We start from the raw sequence: 22,270 nt of genomic DNA on the forward strand, positions 1-22,270 counted from the left end.
GAACAATGAGTCAGACTTTCCCATCTGACATCTGATGATAACTAAATCATTTAGGCCAATTAATTAATAGATGTAGGGAACATTTGCTAATCACCAAACTTGCATTACTTTTTGACATTTCAATACAAAGTGGCAAGAACCACATTGCTTAGTTTGTCTGCTGTTTGGCCAAAATGGCTAGACTAAAAATCTGAGTTAAGGTCATTCTGTGTGCATTTTTGGCTAATATGTATCACCTCCTATGATAAGAAAATTATGGAAAAATTACTTCACACATTTCCTGGGTGGTGGGCACTGAGGCTTCTCAGAGAACACTATTTTCTACACATGTTGATATCAAATGATATTTGAATATTTACTACATATGTAGCATTGAGATGCAAGCTTTTCAGATGGTTCCTGGACCTTTTTCATTTCTGAGAATAAGACCTCGATTTACGCAGAAATGTTTAATTTGACAGAATACATTTCAGAAACGTCAAATGGGTTAGTCTAGGTCCAGCCCCACTGTCATCCTGAAGTTTTCTTCTTTGAGTTCAGGATCACTTGGAATAGACCCTGAGGCTGCCCTTCAGGGACTCGGAATTAATACTCCCATGTGCTCAGCAAGTACAGGCGGCCCGGAGTCGGGTGAGGTGGCTGTAAAAACTCTGTATTAGTCGTAGAAACTGCATGTTTAAAAGCTGCCACAAGTTCTGTTTATGACGGGCATGGCATTACTCCCCCAACCATAGATGAGTTGGGTCCCAGGCATCTCGGGTGACAATAGAATGTAGTGGTTAAAAGCAAGTCTTTGAAGCCCAATGGACTCAGGTGTGGATTCGGACTCAGCTCCTAACCACCTGTACTGTCTTAGACATTTAAAACCTCGCTTCAGTCTTTTATATACATATTCCCTATGTAAACCAAAAATAACATTCTAAGGCCCCCTAAGCTTCTGAATGCACTTCCTCCCCAGCCAGGGCTCTTTTAAAATTTAACCTGAGAGACTGTTTGAGGCAATGTTGGGAAGTCGGGGTCAGACATGCCTCATGATGCCTCTCCGGCATTAACAGCAACACAGACCTTAAGTCTGATAAGAAACATTTACAGCCTCTTCTCTCTGAAGCCTGCTACCTGGAGGCTTCATCTGCATGATAAAACTTCGATCTCCACCAACTCTTATTGCAACCCAGATGTTTCTTTCTGTTGATTCCAGGACTTTGGACAAATTCAACCAATTGTCAAACAGAAAATGCTTAAATCTATCTATAAGCTGGAAGGGGCACCCCCCCATCCACCCCCCACTACCCCCAACCCCTTCCCTGCTTCAAGTTTTTCCACCTTTCTGGACCAAATCAATGTATTTCTTAAATGTATTTGATTGAAGTCTCATAGCTCCCTAGAATATATAAAACCAAGCTGCGCCCCGACCACCTTGGACACATGTTCTCAGGATCTCCTGAGGGCTGTGTCGTGGGCCGGGTCACCCATATTTGGCTCGGAATAAATCTCTTCAAATATTTTACAGAGTTGGACTCTTTTCATTGACACTTAGTTAAACATGTCTACTCCACAAGATTGTTACGAAAAATGAAAGGAATTTCTGATAACCACACAATTGTCAGGAGCAAGGGAAACATTCTGTGAATGGTAATCATCATTATTTTAGTGTTGAGACCCTGCCTTTGTGATATTGTCAGAGTTGCTAAAATACATGGCTACCTCTCAGTTCTCAGAGAGCCTCACGTTTGAAGTAGCTGCTAGTAACAGAGGTTGTCTTCATATAACCAGATAGACAGGGATCAGAGACAATTGATCTCTGGCCTCACAAACTATAGGAATCTGAGAGAAAAAGCCACAGGACACTGCCTCTAAGAGGGGGAGGTGGAAGGCAGGAAAATTCGCTGTGGGGTGTCTGATGCCTGAGAGTCAGAGGGCAGTAAAACAAAGGGTGGCTGAAGGCCTTTCCTGCAAACCAGAAACCAGTGTCCCCAGCTAGCCATGGTGTAAACCCCGACTCCCAGGAAGGTCCAGGCCCAGATGCCACCTTCTGTCTGTGATGAGGACGAGGACAACGTCTCCACTTTTGCATGTTCCAGCTCCTTCTGTCACTCAGTGTGTGTGTCAGGTGGTCCAGTATGTACTAGGGACTCTTACAGACACATGCCAACCCTACACATGTCCCTCTTCTCAGCAATCATTCCTCTCCTTCTTCCTTTGCCCGTTTATACGTTAGTTATTGAACTCGTGGATCTTAGCCCCATTTTTCAGTAGCCTCTAAAGACTGTTGCACTTCTACTTCTCAGAATACTTCCGAGGTCCTCAGAGGACAGCGTGCCTGCAGCTCAGGCCAGGCCCCTTCATGCTGGGCTCCAAGCTCACCATGGCTCCTAACCAGACACCTTGTTTGTGCCGCTCCAGTCCCCATGGCAGGAGCGACTCCTCTCTCTCACCAGTGCGAGGATCACAATGTTATTGCTTATAAAGCCCTTAAGCTCTCTTTCAGGTGAGTTTCAAATCGTTATCTCCTTACACCCAGCAGACAGATGTGAGTCCGCTGCTTGGTGACATCATCCTTTTGTTAGAAGAGCACCGACTCACGTTTCTATAGCAAATCGATAACACTATGTGACAAATCCAAAATCGACAATGGCTATTTCTTAGCTTTAGGTTTTATTTTTCTTCAGAGAGAAACAAGTATGGCAAATATCTGTGAATTTCTGTTTAATCTGATGACAAATTAATTAATAATGATAACAAATGGTTATCTACTTAGATATGTAACGTAGGCAGTGGAAGTAATATTTTATCCGAACATTAGAACCAAGATTTTGTGTAAGTGCAAGAGGACATAGTCTCCACCCCACTGTGTTACAGATCAGGAAGTTGGAGGTGGCTCGGTTACAGGGTTAAGTTACATGCACGTCACGCAGCCCTGAGCTGGGGAAACCAAGAACAAAGCCCCTATGCTTGCTGGGCCATCCCACCCCCTCACATTAGATTTGCTTAAAGAACCTGCCAGAGGCTTCGTCTGGAATAGCACCTCGGTCTCATTCATCTCTATCACGAGTTTCTGCATTTTGACCATGAGCCTGTTCCAACATTTCAGATTCTCCACTCATCATTAAAATAACTTTATTCCAACCTTGCAGCTTCCAAATTAATACTGACTCTTTCCTTATCAGAAACAAGCAATGATTTAGAGTATCACTGAAATAAAATCAAAATGTTTTACCTTGAGGCTTAATTCTCTCTAAAATCTAGTCAGATGCTCCCCATCCCAGTTTCACCATTATATCAGCACAAATCTTGAACATTTCATTTTCTAATCTGTCATCCTTTTAATCTCCTATTTTATAAATGCTCTTTTCTGTATAAATGGCCTGCATATTATAAACAGTATTGAATAGCTTGTTTCTTTCTCTAATCAACCTGATCTGTCTACTCAATATCCACCCATGCATCCATCCATCCATCCATCCATCTACTCATTCATTCACCTATTCATTTTTTAATTAAGCATTTCATTAATTTATTCAGCACTTACTATATTCTAGACAGTATCCTGGGGATATGAAGATAGATAGATAGATAGATAGATAGATAGATAGATAGATAGATTAGAGAGAGAGAGAATAGATGATAGGTAGATAATTCTTTGTCACTATCTTTAAGGTACACAAAATTTTGTAGGAGAGTCTGAGACATACAAACTTCTTATAATACAATGAATGTATTTGGTGCAATAGAGCAAAAATAGGGTCAGGACTTTATGACTACTAAGCCTCACAGGTGTTTTGATGCCTATGGAATCACCACATATAAGTCCCACTAATTCAGTCGCCATTTGTGACTAACGTGTCCAATACTCAGTAGGAAAGATATAAAAGAAAATAATTAGAGTTCCTTAATATCTCTTTGGTCCACCAGCAGGCATCCATGTTTGTGATCTTCTGGGCAATTTTCAGACCTGCTGGCATCACAAGTTCCTCCAACCAGACTTGGATAATGGGTCAATCAGCAAGAAGCACTTTTCCTGAGCCCAAGTTCTAAAACCTCCACAGCAACAGCCCTAATGAAAAATGTAGTATCTCCCACTTCTCCTTTCTATTGCCTTTTTGTTTGGTTTTCACAGGAATCTATTTCTGAGTGTTTGCTGTAGGCAGACACTTTCCTCATCTCCACCTTTGATTACGAGAACAGCACAGCCCGGTGGCTGCCCGGGGGGAGGTGGTAGGCAGGGTCAGAGTGCACACGCGCGTGTGTTCATGTGTGCTGTGTACAGGTGCTGTGAGGGTCCAGGAACTGCTGGCTATCACAGTGAGCGGTGACACAAAGGCCTGTAATTCTATGTTGAGAATAATATTTCCAGCCTAGAACTAGCAGTCTGGCTGGAATGAAATACACAGAAAATAGTCAGGATAGTCCAATCTATGTCTGAGCCTCCAGATTTAAAGATAGTTTATATCCACAAATACATACTGCTATGTCTTTTTACCTTTCCATTTTCACAGCTAGCTGCCAATTTAAGTAAGCATCCTTGCTTTAGTTAAGGGCTTTAGTAATAAAATAATAATAATAACTTCACGAACAGGAAGAGATTCTATAAATCCTGAGTTTCATGCCAGGAAACCACCCCAGAAAACACTTTTTGTACTAATAGCTGTAAAAAAAGGTCAGGTACCTGACTTAAATAATTGCTTTCCTTTTTGTATGTTTGGGGGAGGAGGAATTTCTGGTTCTACTTGTAACACGTGCATATGAGGTTACACAAAGATTTCTTTCCTGGAAAACTGGAAATAAGCATAATCAAAACTGTAAAATGATCAAATACTGGTGCAATTATTTTCTTCAGGAATCTCACGATTTCATCTGCGGGAGTGGATCTGAAATCTAAAATCTGAAAACATTTATTTCACTTTATGATTCTTTTTATTCCACATTCTTCTCTAATTTTTTCCTTGACTGAAACATTGGTATCTCTGTTTCTCATGGTCTCTCTTCGCCTCAGCCGTGCAGTTCTGTGGGTATCTAGGGGGCCTTTTCAGTTCAAAGTACATCAGCAGCCCGACGCTGGTGGTCCACGTTTTCCTGTCGGCTCTGTGGGTTGCATCTGTGTCCTGTTACCTCGGAGGGGTTGTATGTGCGTCCTGAGAGGAAGACAGCCTGGGAAGACAGGGTGGCTTGCAGAAGACGCCCACCATTTGCACAGAGCTAGCCGAGGCAGCTGGCCTGAACATGTGTGCATGCGTGTGCGTGCATGTATGGGTGTGTATGTGTATGCTCATGTGCTTGTGTGTTTATGTGTGTGTATGTGCGTATGTGAGCATGTACGTGTGTGCGCATGTGTATGTTCATGTGCTTGTGTGTGTGCGCGTGTCTGCGTGCGTTTATGTGCGTGTATGTGCATGTGTGTGAGCGTGTATGCTCATGTGCACGTGTGTCTGTGTGTGAGCACGTATGGGTGTGTGTGCGTGTGTGCTTATGTGCGTGTGTGCATGCATATATGTGCATGTGCATGTATGCACGTGTTTGTGTATGTGTGTATGCGTGCATGTGCATCTGTGTTGAGGGGCTGTTGCTCAGGAAGCGAGGGACAGGGCATGTCCTAGGTAGAGACAGCTTTCTGGGGAAAGCCTTGTTCTAAGGCAGCAGGGCGGTCTTGCACTTGCGCGGCTGCTCCTGGGATTTGGAAAGGACACAGGTGGGAAGTTGGAGAGATGGCCTGGGGCAGGTGGGGTAGGTGGGGCAGGTGGGGCAGATGGGGCAGGTGGTGCAGATGGGGCAGTCATTAACGAGCATGCCTGGAACCCCATCCCTAGTCTTGTAGAGGAGGCAAGGAGCTGTCCAACTGTCTCTTAAGAGTGGCACAGTCAGTGCTATGGTTTGGAGGTTTGTCCCCTCCAGATCTCATGTTGAAACGTGATCCCCAGTGTTGGAGGTGGGGCCTGGTGGGGGATGCTGGGGTCAGGGGTGGATCCCTCACGATTATCTTGGTGCTGTCCTCCTGGTTATGAATGAGTTCTTGCTCTGTGTGTTGCAGTGAGAGCTGATTGGTAGGAAGAGCCTGGCCCCTCCCACCGCCTCTCCCACCACGTGATCTCTGCACAGGCCGCTCCCCTCCCCATCGGCCACGAGTGAAGCTTCCTGGGGCCTCACCAGATGCAGATGCTGGTGCCACGCTTCCTGTACAGCCTGCAGAGCCATGGCTGCACAAACCTTTCTTCCTCATAAATCACCCAGCCTCGGGTGTTCCTTTCTAGCAACACACACGGACTGAGCCGGATGACATGAAGCAGCTGTTCCCGCCTCCTCCTGGCACCTCCCTGACTCACGCACTTGGTGCGTGGAGGGGTCGTGAGCGGGCACAGGCAGCCACTTCGCTGCTTGCCTCATCAGCCTCACAGTTCCCCACAGGTGAGTCCTGGCATAGAAACATCCCCTGCATCTTAATTTGCATTTGTTAATAATTATGTGAAATAGAGAAAATAACTTATTTGTGCACAGCTCTGACTTCCAAACGAAACCACTCCAGCTTTTTGGAAGCTTCCGCATTTGGGGATGATATTAACCAAGTGACCACAGACGAGAGAGGCACTGCCCTTCTCTTTAACCCAGAAACTGGTCAGGAGCCTGAGGAGAATGACAAAGGGAAAGAATTCTTACAGGAACTTCTCCCTCCGCTTCCCTCAGTTTAAAACTACAGTGCTCGCCACAGAATCTCACTTCCAATTCCTTGTGGAGAACTGCTTCTTGTACTTATCGCATCCTCATTTACGATATGACTCTGCTAGTATTTTAAATACATGTCTAGCGTTCCTTATAGAGACATTCTCATCCCCACATAGATCGGTGGTTATGAGGGAGTTTTCTTTCCTATGCCTAGGATTCTGTTTTGATGATTTTTACGGGGTTTGCTTACAGTAGTAACTCAGCAAACTGCCTGATGATATTTAAAAACTTCTTCCTCCTTGATTTTCATTTTAAATCAAGCAAACACAATAATCCACAAAAACTAAATTAAAATCAATGCCCTTAACATGACTGGCAAGAAGAATGCTGTTTCTGTTGTAAGAAGACTTGCTATACATAACAGGATGATTAGAAAGACTTGCTGTAAAAAGACTTGATATACATAACAGGATGATATACATAACAGGATGATTAGAAAGTTAAAAATATAATATTGTGAGATGCTATTTGGTTTGGTAAGACGGGGGTCAGATAGTCTATCAGAATAATTTTCTTCCGTTTGATCACACATCTCATCAGAGGAGCAGGAGAGCCGTCCAGCGTGAGATATTTGAAGGGGTGTTGGCAAGAACATCAGATGGACGACAGGGGAGAGGGGCCCAGCTGCACGGGGAGAAGCCGATGAGGGATGGGTCTTTGCTGTCATCAACATTCATAAATTTATCATTCTGGATGCACAAATTAAAATTATTCACTAAGCAAGAATGCCATTGAACTGAACGTTATAAAAATCCTGGAGTAAGTAGAAAAATGCCAGGCTGATATATCTGTGCAGTAAGAGGCATATAATTCTGCCTCCATCAATAACAGCCCCCACACTTTATGGACTCCCCTCTTGGAGGTGGCTGTGAATAACCCGAATGCATGTGCAGCCTCTCGACAAACTCGTGTCCGCGGCTGTGGGCTACGTTCTCGCCAATGGCTGTGTCTTCGGCCAACACACCTGAGCTTACTGCATTAATGTTACTGTGCGATACAGCAGCTCCGCGCCTCCTGTGAGTGCCCGTGTTCACTTCCTAAACTGCTGGTCTACCCAGATTTTTAAAGGGACATATCAAATACTGTTCCTCCATTTCTGGTTCCTTTCAAGCTGCGTTGGTATCGATGTTTGGAACCCCTGGCCACATTTCATATTTATGTAACTGATCTGACAGTGCACGTGAATCTATGAGCAGTTACTTATTGAGTCCCTGCTGTATGTGAGGCTCTCAGGAAGGACTTATGGATGCGCCAAAGTACTGCTGATGATAATGGTGTGAGGAACACACTTTTACTCCTGTTTTATAGAGGTAAACCGTGGTATAGAATTTCACGTTACTTGTCTGAGGTCTTTGGTCATCCCAGCAGCGCCCGGTGTGAGCCCTCTCAAGTTCTCCATGGTTTTCCCATCACCCACACCCCTCCTGTCATGCTGGTTGATGGCACTCTTGCCCGTTGGGTGAGAAAGCCCTTTCCTGGACAGGTGATGCCCTTTGTAGTGAAAACAGTTAGATGCTGTCATGTTTGGTCAGAAGCTGAACCACAGATTTTAGAATGAGGCAATGATGGCCTGAGAGGGAAGTGGATTCTGTTGACACCAGCAGAATGTGTGGAATTGGGATTTTGAAAGTGTATTTACCCAGTGGCATGTGGTCCCAAGCGGGATCTGCCCTCTATGAGCTCCAGACTGGACTCGTCCTGCCCCTGTGGTCTGTCCCTTCCTAGGTTCCCACGGTTCTCTCTTTCCCCACAATGTAGCTTTGCTTTGGACTAGTTTTTGGGACAAGATGTTGCTTGTGAGGTGGGTCTGACTGCAGGAGCCAAGCAGCACCACCCCAACAAATCCTCCAATCAGTCCACCCACCATGCCCAACACCAATCCTCCAATCAGTCCACGCACCATCCCCAACACAAATCCTCCAATCAGTCCACGCACCATCCCCAACACAAATCCTCCAATCAGTCCACGCACCATGCCCAACACCAATCCTCCAATCAGTCCACGCACCATCCCCAACACAAATCCTCCAATCAGTCCACGCACCATGCCCAACACCAATCCTCCAATCAGTCCATGCACCATCCCCAACACAAATCCTCCAATAAGTCCATGCACCATCCCCAACACAAATCCTCCAATCAGTCCATGCACCATGCCCAACACTGCGAGTCCCCCACAGATTGAGGGGGAAGATTAGGGAAGGCGAGGACCTGAGAAATCTGACTCCCTGGGGTCATCAGCACCCACGAGACATCTGCCTGAATCCGCCCCTGCACAGTAGCTATGGCCATCCTTGGCCCTGGGCCCCACACCCTTCCACTCTTCCGATGCAACGTCACCTCTCCTGTGACCCCTTCCATAGTTTTCCCCTCACCGACACCCTTATCACCAGATTCTAAACATTTTCAAATCTCCCCCATTTAAAAAATAGCCCTTGTTGGAGCCCCTCTGCCCCTGCAACTCAGTAGCTTCCACGGGAGGGGGAGGCTTCCCCAGGAGACAGAATGATGTCAGCAGAAACTATTGGTTGTGAGACTTGCGGGCAGTGCTGCTGCATGTAGAGGGCAGAGTTCAGGGGCACGCGCAGGGCAAAGGACAGGGTATCTCCACCACCAGTGCATGGCTGGGAAGCCGCTCTCTGCTCCCCTGTGACTGCGGGCACACGTCCACTGCCCCCTGCCACCACGGACACCCATCCACTGAACCCTGCCACTGCAGGGACCCATTCACTGCCCCTGCCACTGTGGGCACCCATCCACTGCTCCTGCCACTGTGGGCACCCGTCAACTGTCCCTGTCAATGTGGGCACCTGTCCACTACCTCATGCCACCATGGGCGCCTATCCACTGCTTCTGCCAGTGCTGGTACCTGTCCACTGCCCCTGCCAATGCGGGCACCCACCCACTGCTCCTGCCACCTTGGGCACCCGTCCACTGCCTCGTGCCTTTCTCCTCTGCTCACCTGTTGCCCCTGCTATGGGATGTGGAGCATGCAGCCGAGTTGCCCGACCGAAACGCCCCTCTCAGAGCTCAGTGAGGGTCTCCCTCCTGGCACCCAGGTGAAGGGACATTGTTCAGACCTCATCCTGCATGGCCTCTGCCCCAAGGCCTCCCACACCCACAACATTCCCTCCTCCTGAAACACTTGCGTCCTGGGTTTCCTCATCCAGTTTCCAAACCCAGCACCCGGGCCACAGTCACTTCGTCCTCCTTTCTCCAGCCTGCCAGGTCCTCGTGAGTGCGTCTCACTGAATTCTCTCTCTGCACGGCCACTGCTTCAGCCAGGGTCACGTGGCCTCTGTGGGAGCCACAGGACGAGACTCCTTGCGGCCTGCTCTTCATGCGGAGCCTGAGTGGGCTTTTCTGTTCATCAGCCTCGTCCGCCCCTGCGCCCAAAGCCCTCCATGCACACCGACCGCTTGTCGGTTTCTAGACAAGATCCGTTTAGAAACAGTATGTGGGCACCCCATACTCTCCAAACTCCTCTCAAGTCATGGCCCACACTCTCCCTGCTCACGGCATCTCTGGGTTCTCTCTCCAGCTCACTGAACTTGTTTCGCATGTATGCCTTTGCCTTGAGGCTTGCTCCCCTTCAACTCTGGAAACCCACTTGTCACTCAGCACTCAGGTCTCAGCACTCAGCACTCAGGTCTCAGCACTCAGCACCCAGCACTCAGGTCTCAGCACTCAGCACTCAGGTCTCAGCACTCAGCACCCAGCACTCAGGTCTCAGTACTCAGCACGCAGGTCTCAGCACTCAGCACTCAGGTCAGTCGTTGCTTCTTCGGCAAGGTCGGCCCTGAGCATTTCTGCCTCCCATTAGGTTAGATCCTCGAATGAGGCTTTTGGACAAGCCCTGCGCCATGATAGCTGGCGATCCACAGCCTACCATGTGCTCCAGGATGTCCTGCCCGTGGGCCACCCATAGGTTCGCTGAGTGCCTCCCCCTCTACTATGTCCCACGCAGGCAGTGGGCAGAGTAACCACGGAATGATCTAGTAAATTAGTGAGTGGCCGAACAGGTCTTGCCTTTTTGGGAGTGCAGGATCATTTCACAAGTCGATCCCATCAGGACAAAGCGAGTGTGCAGGCTGCTGCATGCCAAGGGCTCCTCCTCCAGGCAGCCCTTCGCGAGAGGCATGGCCAATTCTCCAAAGATTCAAATCTTTCTGGGCCTCTGGCTGTTGACAGTTCCTTAATTAAAAATCCTCCTTCCAGCCCCCAAATGGATACCAATCTACAATATTCCACACCAACTGCAGCTCAGTCAAGCATTTTACTCATTGCAGTGATAACTGTGCAGGCTGATCATTGTTACAGCCACACAGTAATAGTGCTCTAGAGACTGGGTGCGGTGGCTCACGCCTGTAATCCTAGCACTTTGGGAGGCCGAGTGGGTGGATCACAAGGTTTGGAGTTTGAGACCATCCTGGCCAACATGATGAAACCCTGACTCTACTAAAAATACAAAAATTAGCTGGATGTGGTGTCAAATGCCTGTAATCCTAGCTACTCGGGAGGCTGAGGCAGGAGAATCACTTGAACCCCGGAGGCGGAGGTTGCAGTAAGCTGAGATTGTGCCACTGCACTCCAGCCTGGGTGACAGAGCGAGACTTCATCTCAAAAAAAAAGAAAAAAAAAATAGTGCCCTAGAATTCCAGCTTTCCTCCTAACAACACACGTGGTCCACATCCGGTGTCTGATTCCCATCCCCACTGGAAGTTCCTCCGGCATTCTGTGTATTTTCTGTGTGTTGTTTTCAAAAAAACACCATCCGGTATTGTAGGCTGCAAACTTACATCAAATAGTTTCCTGCCTGTGATTTGAATCAGAGCAAAACATCCCTGGGCACCCAGGCACTGTCCCCGAAGAGGTAATTATTGGTGCTCCCACTGCGTGCTGCCTGCAGGTGTTTTCCTGTATCAGCCCGCACCATTCCCTGAAGACAGACGGTTCTGTGATGCTTTCTGGATGGCGTTTTCCTGTATCAGCCCGCACCATTCCCTGAAGACAGACCGTTCTGTGATGCTTTCCCCCTTGAAGACATAATGTCTATCTCTAATTCCCACACTGATTTTCTTTCTTTTAAGAAACCAACAAAACCAGCACCAAAAACAGCTGTTGACCCTCATCATCTGAAAGCGTGGGAACCAACTTTCCCCCGTGATCTCCCGCTCTGATCTTCATGACACCTGGCTCCCCGTGTCTGTTCATGGGGCCTTCGGTGTGGGCTCCTGTTTGTGGAGCCTCAGTGGCCCGTCCCTGTGTCCTTCTGCTGTGGGCCTGTAGCTGGGAAATTCACCCCCTGGCATTGACCAGGGGAAGGTGCGATTCCCTGTGGAGTTGGGAAGTGGCTCTCAGGGGTCAGGCATTGGGTGCTGCCCCAGTGCATGTTATGGGCAGCTGTCCACTGCGTGCAGGGCCAGTGAGACACCAAGAGGTCATCACGGGCCTCTTCTCATCTCAGTGCCAGCCGTGATGATCAGAAACATTTCTTTAGGGGGATGTGACCGCTGGCTATGGCGCCGGGACTCTTCTCCCAGTGGGTCAATCGCACCTTCACTCTGGGCAGGTGAGGGCACAGGCAGGAGCCTGAATGTGCAGGTGCCCGCAGGCGAGGTGGAGAATGGGCGCTTCTCCAGGAACTTAAATCTTGATAATGAGGCCCATCTGAACCCCTCAGGCTGCCCCAGGAGCCTCGCCTCACCTGCGGGCATCCAGCGGTGTCTGTAATGACCCTGCCCTGAAATGAAGGGGAGGAACCGCATCCTGTGTGTTACTCCAGGGGAAGGACAGGGTAGGGGCCGGCCTCCACCCTCCTCGAAGCAAACTCTCATTAGATGTTCCTACTGGGCCCTGGAGAGTAACGAGCCAGCTGATTACTGTCTCTAGTGTAAACATCACCTTTTTTTTTTTTTTTCTGAGATGGAGCCTCGCTCCATTGCCCAGGCTGGAGTGCAGTGGGGTGATCTCGGCTCACTGCAACCTCTGCCTCCCTGGTTCGAGCGATTCTCCTGACTCAGCCTCCCGAGTAGCTGGGACTACAGGCGTGCGCCACCATGCCTGGCTCATTCTTTTTTTTTTTTTGTATTTTTAGTAGAGATGGGGTTTCACTATGTTGGCCAGGCTGGTCTCAAACTCCTGACCTCGTGATCTGCCTGCCTTGGCCTCCCAAAGTCCTGGGATTACAGGAGTGAGCCACTACCACCTTTTAATCACGACCAAACATCACCTTTTAATCACAATCCTGAGAGGTGTGACCCTGGCATTGCCACGTGCGAGTCCCCCTAGGAAACCAAGGCTACGCTGGGAGCACTGTGGGGCTGTTTAGGGACTCAAGGCCATGCCACGTCCTGACTCTGCGATGCCTCCCAAGGGTGAGCAGTGGGTTCTTGCCTTTGCCACAAAAGATGCTGCCCTTGGGAATACCAGGATGAGTTAATGATTTCTGAGCATATTTCCTAAACTATGTTCCAAAGAGCACCACAGCTAGAGGTTTGAAAGGAATTTAGGAAAGATCTTACGCATATTCCATTTCCTCCTCGGAGTAACATCAGCGTATGAAATGCCCAGACAAGTCCTGTGCGGAAGAGAAGCACCCACCCTCCCCCTCTGTCAGCGGACGGGACCCTCATGGCCCCAAGGGAGGCTAGTCCACGTTCACCACACACGCATTCCTAGAAGTGGTTTTTAACGTAATCATTTAGGAATATTTTTGTAAATAATTTTCTGATTATCAAAACCATAATTACAGGATTTTAATTATTTTATGGATATGCAGGTTGAAGAGACTGGGTTTTGATGACTTTGATGGGGGAGGGAGGGAGGGAGAGAGAGAGAGAGAGAGAGATTGATTTAGTTTCTGAGGAGACAAACACTAGGGTTAAGAAGGATTAGAAGGCGATTTTCCTGCATTGAAATAGTTTTTTTTTTTTTTTTTGAGAAGGAGTTTCACTTTGTCGCCCAGGCTGGAGTGTAAGGGCATGATCTTGGCTCACTGAAACCTCTGTCTCCCGGGTTCAACCGATTCTCCTGCCTCAGCCTCCCAAGTAGCTGGGATTATAGGCACCCACCACCATGCCTGGCTAATTTTTGTATTTTTAATAGAGACGGGGGCTTCACCGTGTTGGCCAGGCTTGTCTTGACCTCCTGACCTCAGGTGATCCACCCAACTTAGCCTCCCAAAGTGCTGGGATTACAGGCATGAGCCACCGCTCCCGGCCTCTTGCACTGAAGTCCAAAGGCCAGAAGAACCCGGAGGCTTTCGGCGTTTCCGCCTTTGCCTTCCGATGTCCATTCCCATCTGAGCAGTCATTTCTGCTTAATTCCGCCATTACTTCCTCCCTTGATGCTTCTGAAACTGTCTCCTCAGCAGATGATCCCTGCATTAGTTGGCGGAGCTGATGGTGTTCCCTGTTTTACCCTGTGGTCTCATTTCCGGATGCTGCTACCAATGCCCGTCTCTATGGCTCCCTGCCCACGTGTGCAGCCCCGTCACTGAGAGGGAAGTGGCTGGAGAGGTGTCCAGATCATTGTGAATGAAGTCATCTGTGAAACCATGGGAGAGAGATTTGATATCTGCTTCCCTTTCAAATGAAAGGAAAAGAGTGGGGTGAGAGAGGGCGGCACTCCCCAGACAGGCCCTGACCACACCCTGGCCCCACGCCTCAGCAGAACAACTCTGAACCTCTATGGACTCACAGGGGCGAGGTCGGGGCAAGGAGACTCAGGGCCTGCGCTGCTCACCGGGTGAGAAGTCACAGCTGGTTAGGAGGCCACAGGTAAGCAGAGGTGCGAGCCACCAGGGACGGGGTGAGTTATTCACAGGTGAATGAGCTAGGACGAGGCAACAGCACGCAGGCCACGCCTCGCCAACCCATGGGTCCTCAACAGGATTTTGGTGACACGCAACACCCCTCTGGCTCCTGCTCTGATCCATGATGGTGAGGGAGGTTCCCACGGTCACGCGTGTGCTGGGATTCTGCTCTTTACGCCGTCCCCGGGCAACACAGACATCAGCTCTTCTCTCCTCCAGCTGAGCAAATGTAAGCTGTCCAGGAGAATCCATCCCAGCTGCTAACAAAATCTTCAGACGAGAGTCAGTCTGATTCGGAGTGGAATGAAATGAGCATTCGGCAATACCTCCGTGTGCCAGTGCAGCTGAGTTCTCGGTAAACACAATATTCCGAGGTGATACTGAGCTCTGCGTCCTCAGATTAAATGTATCTCCTTCTTAGATTTGCTCGTGCACTTTACGGCTTCTGCAAATGACAGCCTCGGCGCTGCAAAGTAATTCCACACTGTCATATTTGTCTTTGGAAATTGTAACAAATTATGGTGATTTATAACATCAAACTCAACTCCCATTTTTCCCCAGACGGCAATGTCGCTGATGGCGAGATTCCGGGCCATCCATTTATCCTGTGTGGAGGCTGACAGGGACGCATGCCTCATCTGCTGCCAAGACACTGGGTTCCCTTGAGGGGACTCTGTCGACATAACTCACCCTGTCCCGGGTGGCTCGCACCTCTGCTTACCTGTGGCCTCCTAACCAGCTGTGACTTCTCACCTGGTGAGCAGTGCAGGCCCTGAGTTCCCTTGCCCCGACCTCGCCCCTGTGAGTCCATAGAAGTTCAGAGTTGTTCTGCTGAGGCGTGGGGGCCAGGGTGTGGTCAGGGCCTGTCTGGGGAGTGCCGCCCTCTCTCGTCCCAGTCTTTTCCTTTCATTTGAAAGGGAGGCAGACATCAAATCTCTCTCCCATGGTTTCACAGATGACTTGGAATCCTGGCCTTTTAGGATAGAAAGAGAACACAGAGATCCCGGCCCATCAAGCAGGCCCCAGAAACATGGGCAGCAGCAGGAGAGTGCCCAAGCTCCTGGCAGGGTGGGTCCAACCCTGTGTCGTGCCCCTGATTCAGGCGTTGAAGCCTCAACTCCAGATGCTGGCATGAGGAGGTGGTTCCTGGGGAGGTGATTTGGGTTAGATGGGGTCCTGAGGGTGAGGCCCTCACGATTAGAAGAGAAAGAGACCGGGCTCTTGCTCTCTGCCACACGAGGACACAGAAAGCGCCATCTACAAGCCAGGAAGGGGCCTTCATGGCAATCCTAGTGGGCTGGATCTTGGTCTTTGGTTTCCAGCCTTGAGAACTGAGAAATAAACATTTATTGTTTAAACTAAACCACCAAATCTATGGTATTTTGTGATAGCAGCTGAGTGGGCTAAGACACCTTCCTCCCAGCACAGTGTCACCCAAAAACCTTGAGGCTTCTCCATCAGCAACGGACTGGGAAGGCAGGTCTGCACCTGCGTCTCCACGTTCCACTTCACATGTGGCATCTGGCACCGGACGGTGGCCGCCTCCTTTCAGATTACTCACGGCTCTAGAATCTAGCTTATATGTTTATTTTCTGAATGTTGTAACTAGGACTCTGGCTCTAGACAGGCAAAATGTTCCCAAGAAAAATGAGAAAATAAAAATTGCTCTTTTTCAATGGGGAAATTGTTCCCTATCTAATAAATGGTGCTGGGAAAACTGGCCAGCCGCAAGCAGAAAACTGAAATTGGACTCCTTCCTTTTACTTATACAAAAATTAACTTAAGATGGATTAAAGACTTAAATGTAAAACCCCAAACCATAAAAACCCTAGAAGAAAACCTAGGCAATGCCATTCAGGACATAGTCATGGGCAAAGACTTCATGACGAAAATGCCAAAAGCAATTGCAACAAAAGCCAAAATTGATAAATGGGATTGAATTAAACTAAAGAGCTTCTGCACAGCAAAAGAAACTATCCTCAGAGTGAACAGACAGCCTACAGAATGGGAGAAAAATTTTGCAAGCTACCCATCTGACAAAGGTCTAATATCCAGCCTCTATAAGGAACTTAAACAAATTTACAAGAAAAAAACAAACAACCCCGTCAAAAAGTCGGCCAAGGATATGAACAGACACTTCTCAAAAGAAGACATTTATGAGGCCAACAAACATATGAAAAAAGCTCACCATCACTGGTCATTAGAGAAATGCAAATCAAAACCACACTGAGATGCCATCTCATGCCAGTCAGAATGGCAATGATTAAAAAGTCAAGAAACAATAAATGCCAGTGAGGATGTGGAGAAATTGGAACACTTTTACACTGTTGGTGGGAATGTAAATTAGTTCAACAATTGCAGAAGACAGTGCAACAATTCCTCAAGGATCAAGAACCACAAATACCATTTGGCCCAGCAATCCCATTACTGGGTATATACCCAAAGGATTATAAATTATTCTACTATAAAGACACATGCACACGTATGTTTATTGCAGCACTGTTCACAATAGCAAAGACTTAGAACCAACCCAAATGCCCATCAATGATAGACTGAACAAAGAAAACATGGCATATATACAGCATGGAATACTATGCAGCCATAAAAAGGAAGGAGCTCATGTCCTTTGCAGGGAGATGGATGAAGCTGGAAACCATCATCCTCAGCAAACTAACACAGGAACAGAAAACCAAACACAGCATGTTCTCACTCAAAAGTGGGAGTTGAACAATGAGAACACATGGACACAGGGAGGGGAACATCACACACCGGGACCTGTCAGGGGGTGAGGGGTGAGGGGAGGGACAGCATTAGGACAAATACCTAATGCATGCCGGTCTTAAAACCTAGATGACAGGTCGACAGGTGCAGCAAACCCCCATGGCACATGTATACCTATGTAACAAACCTGCACGTTCTGCACATGTATCCTGGAACTTAGAGTAAAAAAGAAAAAGAATTGCTTTTTTTAAAAAATTGAAAGTTCAGAACTGCAAGCAGTAGCTCCTCCTAGAGCAAGGTGGTGAAGGGCTCAAGTTGGAGTGCTTCTGAGACACACACAGATGACACAGAGGCCTGGGGGATCTCCTTTAGAGGCTGGATGTACTGAGCACCTGCCTGCCTCCCTTCCCTTCCCTGTCAGGGCCAATGCCGTGTTCTTGCATGTGTCCAGAGAGCCTGGCAGTCTCTCCAGTGCCTGCGTTTGTGGCTGTGGCTGCAGGGGTCGCAGACCTCTGGGAAGGAGGGAGCCCGTGGGTCTGTGCCGGCTGGTGGGTGTCCCACAGGGGTCTTGATCTGGGACTGGCCAGACTGCGAAGCCCCTTCCAGAGCACAAGCCGGAGGGGTCTCCTCTGATCCCTCCTTCACCCTCTCCTCAATTTGCATTAGACACAGGGGATCCAGGAGTGAGACAGGACATCCCCAAGCATCTGGTAGACGAGAGAGAAGTGGGCAGCTGTGGCAGAGCCCAGTGTGAGTTATCTCAGAGGATCACGCGGCCCCCAGAGGACATGCTGGACGCACACCTGACCCAGACCTGCGGGAAGAGTGAGAGGCATGGAGGCCACAGGGCACTTGGAGGATGGGCATCACGTGGTGGACGGGGAGCGTTCTGCCCATGGACGTGGCCTGGGTGAGGGTATAGTAGGCTGAGGCCAGGCATGCCGAGGGGCTCGAGGTCCTTTAGTGCCACTAGAGGACGTCACAACGTCGGGGCCATGGGAGTCGAGGACAGGAACTCAGCAGAAATCAGGGCAGGAGAAGCCTCTGCTGCCCATGCCGCCTGACCCTGGCTGCTGCCGCATGCAGTGGACACTCAGTTCCACCCCTAGAGGGAGAGTGACAGGCTCTGCCTGCCCAGAAGTTCACACTGCACGGCATCCCATCCACCCTCACCGAGGCCTCTCTGCAGTCCTGTGGGTCTCAGAGGGTGCAGGCGTCATTCTCACGACAGGTGAGGGGTCTCAGGCCAGAGAGGGCAGAGACCTGCCTGGCTCCACACAGCATGCACGTCGGCCCTGGGATGTGAGTCTCTGCATCCTACAGCCAGAGTTTCCTCTAGGAGACTGTAGCGGAGGGGAGGCAAGGCCAGAGCGGGTATAACAGAAACTCCAGGGGCAGCACTCTGGGTTCAAAGCCGGCCTTAGGATGTAGCTGCTCTGGGATTATGCACCTTACTTAACATTTCCTGAATGCCTTGTCTCTCGTTTATTTATTTTTTGGTTCAGCAGTGCAACAGATGTGCTACCCACTTGCTAGTGAGCATGAAGGGGCCTGGAGTCCTTCTCTGCCTAAGCCTTGCAGGTGTTAGGCACTCACTCCACAGCGGCTGGTGCCATTTTCTCCATGCCATGGTCTGGTCTGATGCAAACCCATCGACCAGTGCTGTGTGCCTGGCTTCCAAGGCTACAGAAAGGGGACATTGGGCCTGTTGGTGTTGAAGTGCAAGTAACCTCTCCGGGACTAGGCTACCTATGGTGGTCTCATTTCTCTCAAACAGGAAATGAAACACAACTGGCAAGGTAGAGGGTACACCGGAAATTGGGGAGGCCCACCCATGGTGTTTGGAACCCTGAAGTTGCCCAGGAGAGCTAGTTATTGCCTTCACTTTGCGAGGGAATTTAAAGCGGCATGCTCCTGTTTGACAATTTTGCTTTTATTTACAGGGGCTGGATCAAACGTATATTTTATGTGATAAGTGGAAAGTGTCAAAATGAGCCACACATAAAGTGGTGACAAAATAATTCACTTCAATGAAATTACATAATGTAAAACAAAATCTTAGAAACAGCCCCCGTTAAATATGATTTGCATGCAACATAACATTATACAATTTTTGACACTCTGCAAAGAGGTATTGGGTCGGAAGTAGCTATGTTTAGAAGGCAATTTGCAGAATTTCTGTTCTTTTAGTGGTTTGAAAGCAGTGATAATTTTTTTTTTCTTTTGGTGGTTGACAAGTGAACAAAAACCAATAATTGAATAGCACCATTTTACCCAGAAGGCAAGCTGATAATTAGAGGTGTAAGAGACAGTTTGGATTTTATCTGAATCGTGGCAGCTCTGACTTGTTTTTAAAATCTGGGAACCAAATCAAGGCCCCGATTCTCAACAATATAAGAAGAAAACAGGATTTTATTTGCAGTTGCTCGTTCTTGGCTGACACATGTGTTTTGGTCCCTAAAGGGCAGCCCGTGGGTCCTGAGATGAGCAAGTCCACATCTGATTTAGGAAATGAAGAGTTTCTCGGTGGCCAACGTGGTCAGGAGGAGAATGAAAATAAACTCAGTCTATGCCACCGAGGGCACGTCAGGCAACAGCCCCCGCCCTCCTGGTCTGGCTGCCTCAAGGAATGTTCCAGGGCACGTGAGTCTCACCTGCGGCCTTAGAAGGTAGCACCCCACTCAGACGCAATTTGAACCCCATGATCACAGCCGCCCAGACCCCACTCAGACGTAGTTCAGACCCTGGATCACAGCCGCCCAGACCCCACTCAGACGTAGTTCAGACCCTGGATCACAGCCGTCCAGACCCCACTCAGATGTAGTTCAGACCCTGGATCCGTCCAGACCCCACTCAGACGCAGTTCGGACCCTGGATCACAGCCGTCCAGACCCCACTCAGACGCAGTTTGGACCCTGGATCACAGCCGTCCAGACCCCACTCAGACGCAGTTCGGACTCTGGATCCGTCCAGATCCCACTCAGACGTAGTTCAGACCCTGGATCACAGCCATCCAGACCCCACTCAGATGTAGTTCAGACCCTGGATCACAGCCATCCAGACCCCACTCAGATGTAGTTCAGACCCTGGATCCGTCCAGACCCCACTCAGACGTAGTTCAGACCCTGGATCACAGCCGTCCAGACCCCACTCAGATGTAGTTCAGACCCTGGATCCGTCCAGACCCCACTCAGACGCAGTTCAGACCCTGGATCACAGCCGTCCAGACTCCACTCAGACTCAGTTCAGACCCTGGATCACAGCCGTCCAGACCCCACTCAGACGCAGTTCAGACCCTGGATCACAGCCGCCCAGACCCCACTCAGATGTAGTTCAGACCCTGGATCACAGCCGTCCAGACCCCACTCAGACGCAGTTCAGACCCTGGATCACAGCCGTCCAGACCCCACTCACACTCAGTTCAGACCCTGGATCACAGCCGCCCAGACCCCACTCAGACGCAGTTCAGACCCTGGATCACAGCCGCCCAGACCCCACTCAGACGCAGTTCAGACCCTGGATCACAGCCGCCCAGACCCCACTCAGACGCAGTTCAGACCCTGGATCACAGCCGTCCAGACCCCACTCAGACGCAGTTCGGACCCTGGATCACAGCCGCCCAGACCCCACTCAGACGCAGTTCAGACCCTGGATCCGTCCAGACCCCACTCAGACGCAGTTCGGACCCTGGATCACAGCCGTCCAGACCCCACTCAGACGCAGTTCAGACCCTGGATCACAGCCGTCCAGACCCCACTCAGACGCAGTTCGGACCCTGGATCACAGCCGTCCAGACCCCACTCAGACGCAGTTCGGACCCTGGATCACAGCCGCCCAGACCCCACTCAGACGCAGTTCAGACCCTGGATCCGTCCAGACCCCACTCAGACGCAGTTCGGACCCTGGATCACAGCCGCCCAGACCCCACTCAGACGCAGTTCAGACCCTGGATCCGTCCAGACCCCACTCAGACGTAGTTCAGACCCTGGATCACAGCCGTCCAGACCCCACTCAGACGCAGTTCGGACCCTGGATCACAGCCGCCCAGACCGCACTCAGATGTAGTTCAGACCCTGGATCACAGCCGTCCAGACCCCACTCAGACGCAGTTCAGACCCTGGATCACAGCCGCCCAGACCGCACTCAGATGTAGTTCAGACCCTGGATCACAGCCGTCCAGACCCCACTCAGACGCAGTTCAGACCCTGGATCACAGCCGTCCAGACTCCACTCAGACGTAGTTCAGACCCTGGATCACAGCCGTCCAGACCCCACTCAGACTCAGTTCAGACCCTGGATCCGTCCAGACCCCACTCACACTCAGTTCAGACCCTGGATCACAGCCGCCCAGACCCCACTCAGACGCAGTTCAGACCCTGGATCACAGCCGTCCAGACCCCACTCAGACGTAGTTCAGACCCTGGATCACAGCCGCCCAGACCACACTCAGATATAGTTCAGACCCTGGATCACAGCCGTCCAGACCCCACTCAGACGCAGTTCAGACCCTGGATCACAGCCGCCCAGACCGCACTCAGATGTAGTTCAGACCCTGGATCACAGCCGTCCAGACCCCACTCAGACGCAGTTCAGACCCTGGATCACAGCCGTCCAGACTCCACTCAGACTCAGTTCAGACCCTGGATCACAGCCGTCCAGACCCCACTCAGACGCAGTTCAGACCCTGGATCACAGCCGCCCAGACCGCACTCAGATGTAGTTCAGACCCTGGATCACAGCCGTCCAGACCCCACTCAGACGCAGTTCAGACCCTGGATCACAGCCGTCCAGACCCCACTCAGACGCAGTTCGGACCCTGGATCACAGCCGTCCAGACCCCACTCAGACGCAGTTCGGACCCTGGATCACAGCCGCCCAGACCCCACTCAGACGCAGTTCAGACCCTGGATCACAGCCGTCCAGACCCCACTCAGACGCAGTTCGGACCCTGGATCACAGCCGTCCAGACCCCACTCAGACGCAGTTCGGACCCCGGATCACAGCCGCCCAGACCCCACT

The 22,270-nt window shown here is 50.0% G+C and overlaps 1 protein-coding gene and 1 long non-coding RNA gene across 2 annotated transcripts in view, besides 3 other annotated features; one reads left to right on the forward strand and one right to left on the reverse strand.

The window, feature by feature from the left end:
- ADARB2 (adenosine deaminase RNA specific B2 (inactive)) overlaps positions 1-22,270 on the reverse strand; it is a 560,213-nt gene that overhangs the window by 343,188 nt on the left and 194,755 nt on the right. The window lies entirely within an intron of this gene.
- Positions 1,614-2,115: an enhancer, noted in NCBI's record as "H3K4me1 hESC enhancer chr10:1564309-1564810 (GRCh37/hg19 assembly coordinates)". NCBI's record gives its function as "activates a minimal SCP1, AML or CMV promoter by ChIP-STARR-seq in primed H9 embryonic stem cells {active_cell/tissue: H9 hESC(primed)}" and the evidence as "EXISTENCE:reporter gene assay evidence [ECO:0000049][PMID:30033119]".
- The window catches only part of ADARB2-AS1 (ADARB2 antisense RNA 1), a 30,379-nt gene continuing 14,238 nt past the window's right edge, over positions 6,130-22,270 (forward strand). The window contains exon 1 of the long non-coding RNA NR_033387.2: positions 6,130-6,399. This is a non-coding gene — a long non-coding RNA (ADARB2 antisense RNA 1). The remainder of the gene's footprint in view (positions 6,400-22,270) is intronic.
- Positions 9,018-10,017: an enhancer, noted in NCBI's record as "H3K4me1 hESC enhancer chr10:1571713-1572712 (GRCh37/hg19 assembly coordinates)". NCBI's record gives its function as "activates a minimal SCP1, AML or CMV promoter by ChIP-STARR-seq in primed H9 embryonic stem cells {active_cell/tissue: H9 hESC(primed)}" and the evidence as "EXISTENCE:reporter gene assay evidence [ECO:0000049][PMID:30033119]".
- Positions 14,066-15,265: an enhancer, noted in NCBI's record as "P300/CBP strongly-dependent group 1 enhancer chr10:1576761-1577960 (GRCh37/hg19 assembly coordinates)". NCBI's record gives its function as "activates an origin of replication core promoter dependent on BRD2, BRD4, P300/CBP, MED14 and CDK7 cofactors, with strong dependence on P300/CBP, by STARR-seq in HCT116 cells {active_cell/tissue: HCT116}" and the evidence as "EXISTENCE:reporter gene assay evidence [ECO:0000049][PMID:35650434]".

This window comes from Homo sapiens, chromosome 10 (assembly GCF_000001405.40).
Source record: "Homo sapiens chromosome 10, GRCh38.p14 Primary Assembly".
NCBI classification, from domain to species: domain Eukaryota; kingdom Metazoa; phylum Chordata; class Mammalia; order Primates; family Hominidae; genus Homo; species Homo sapiens.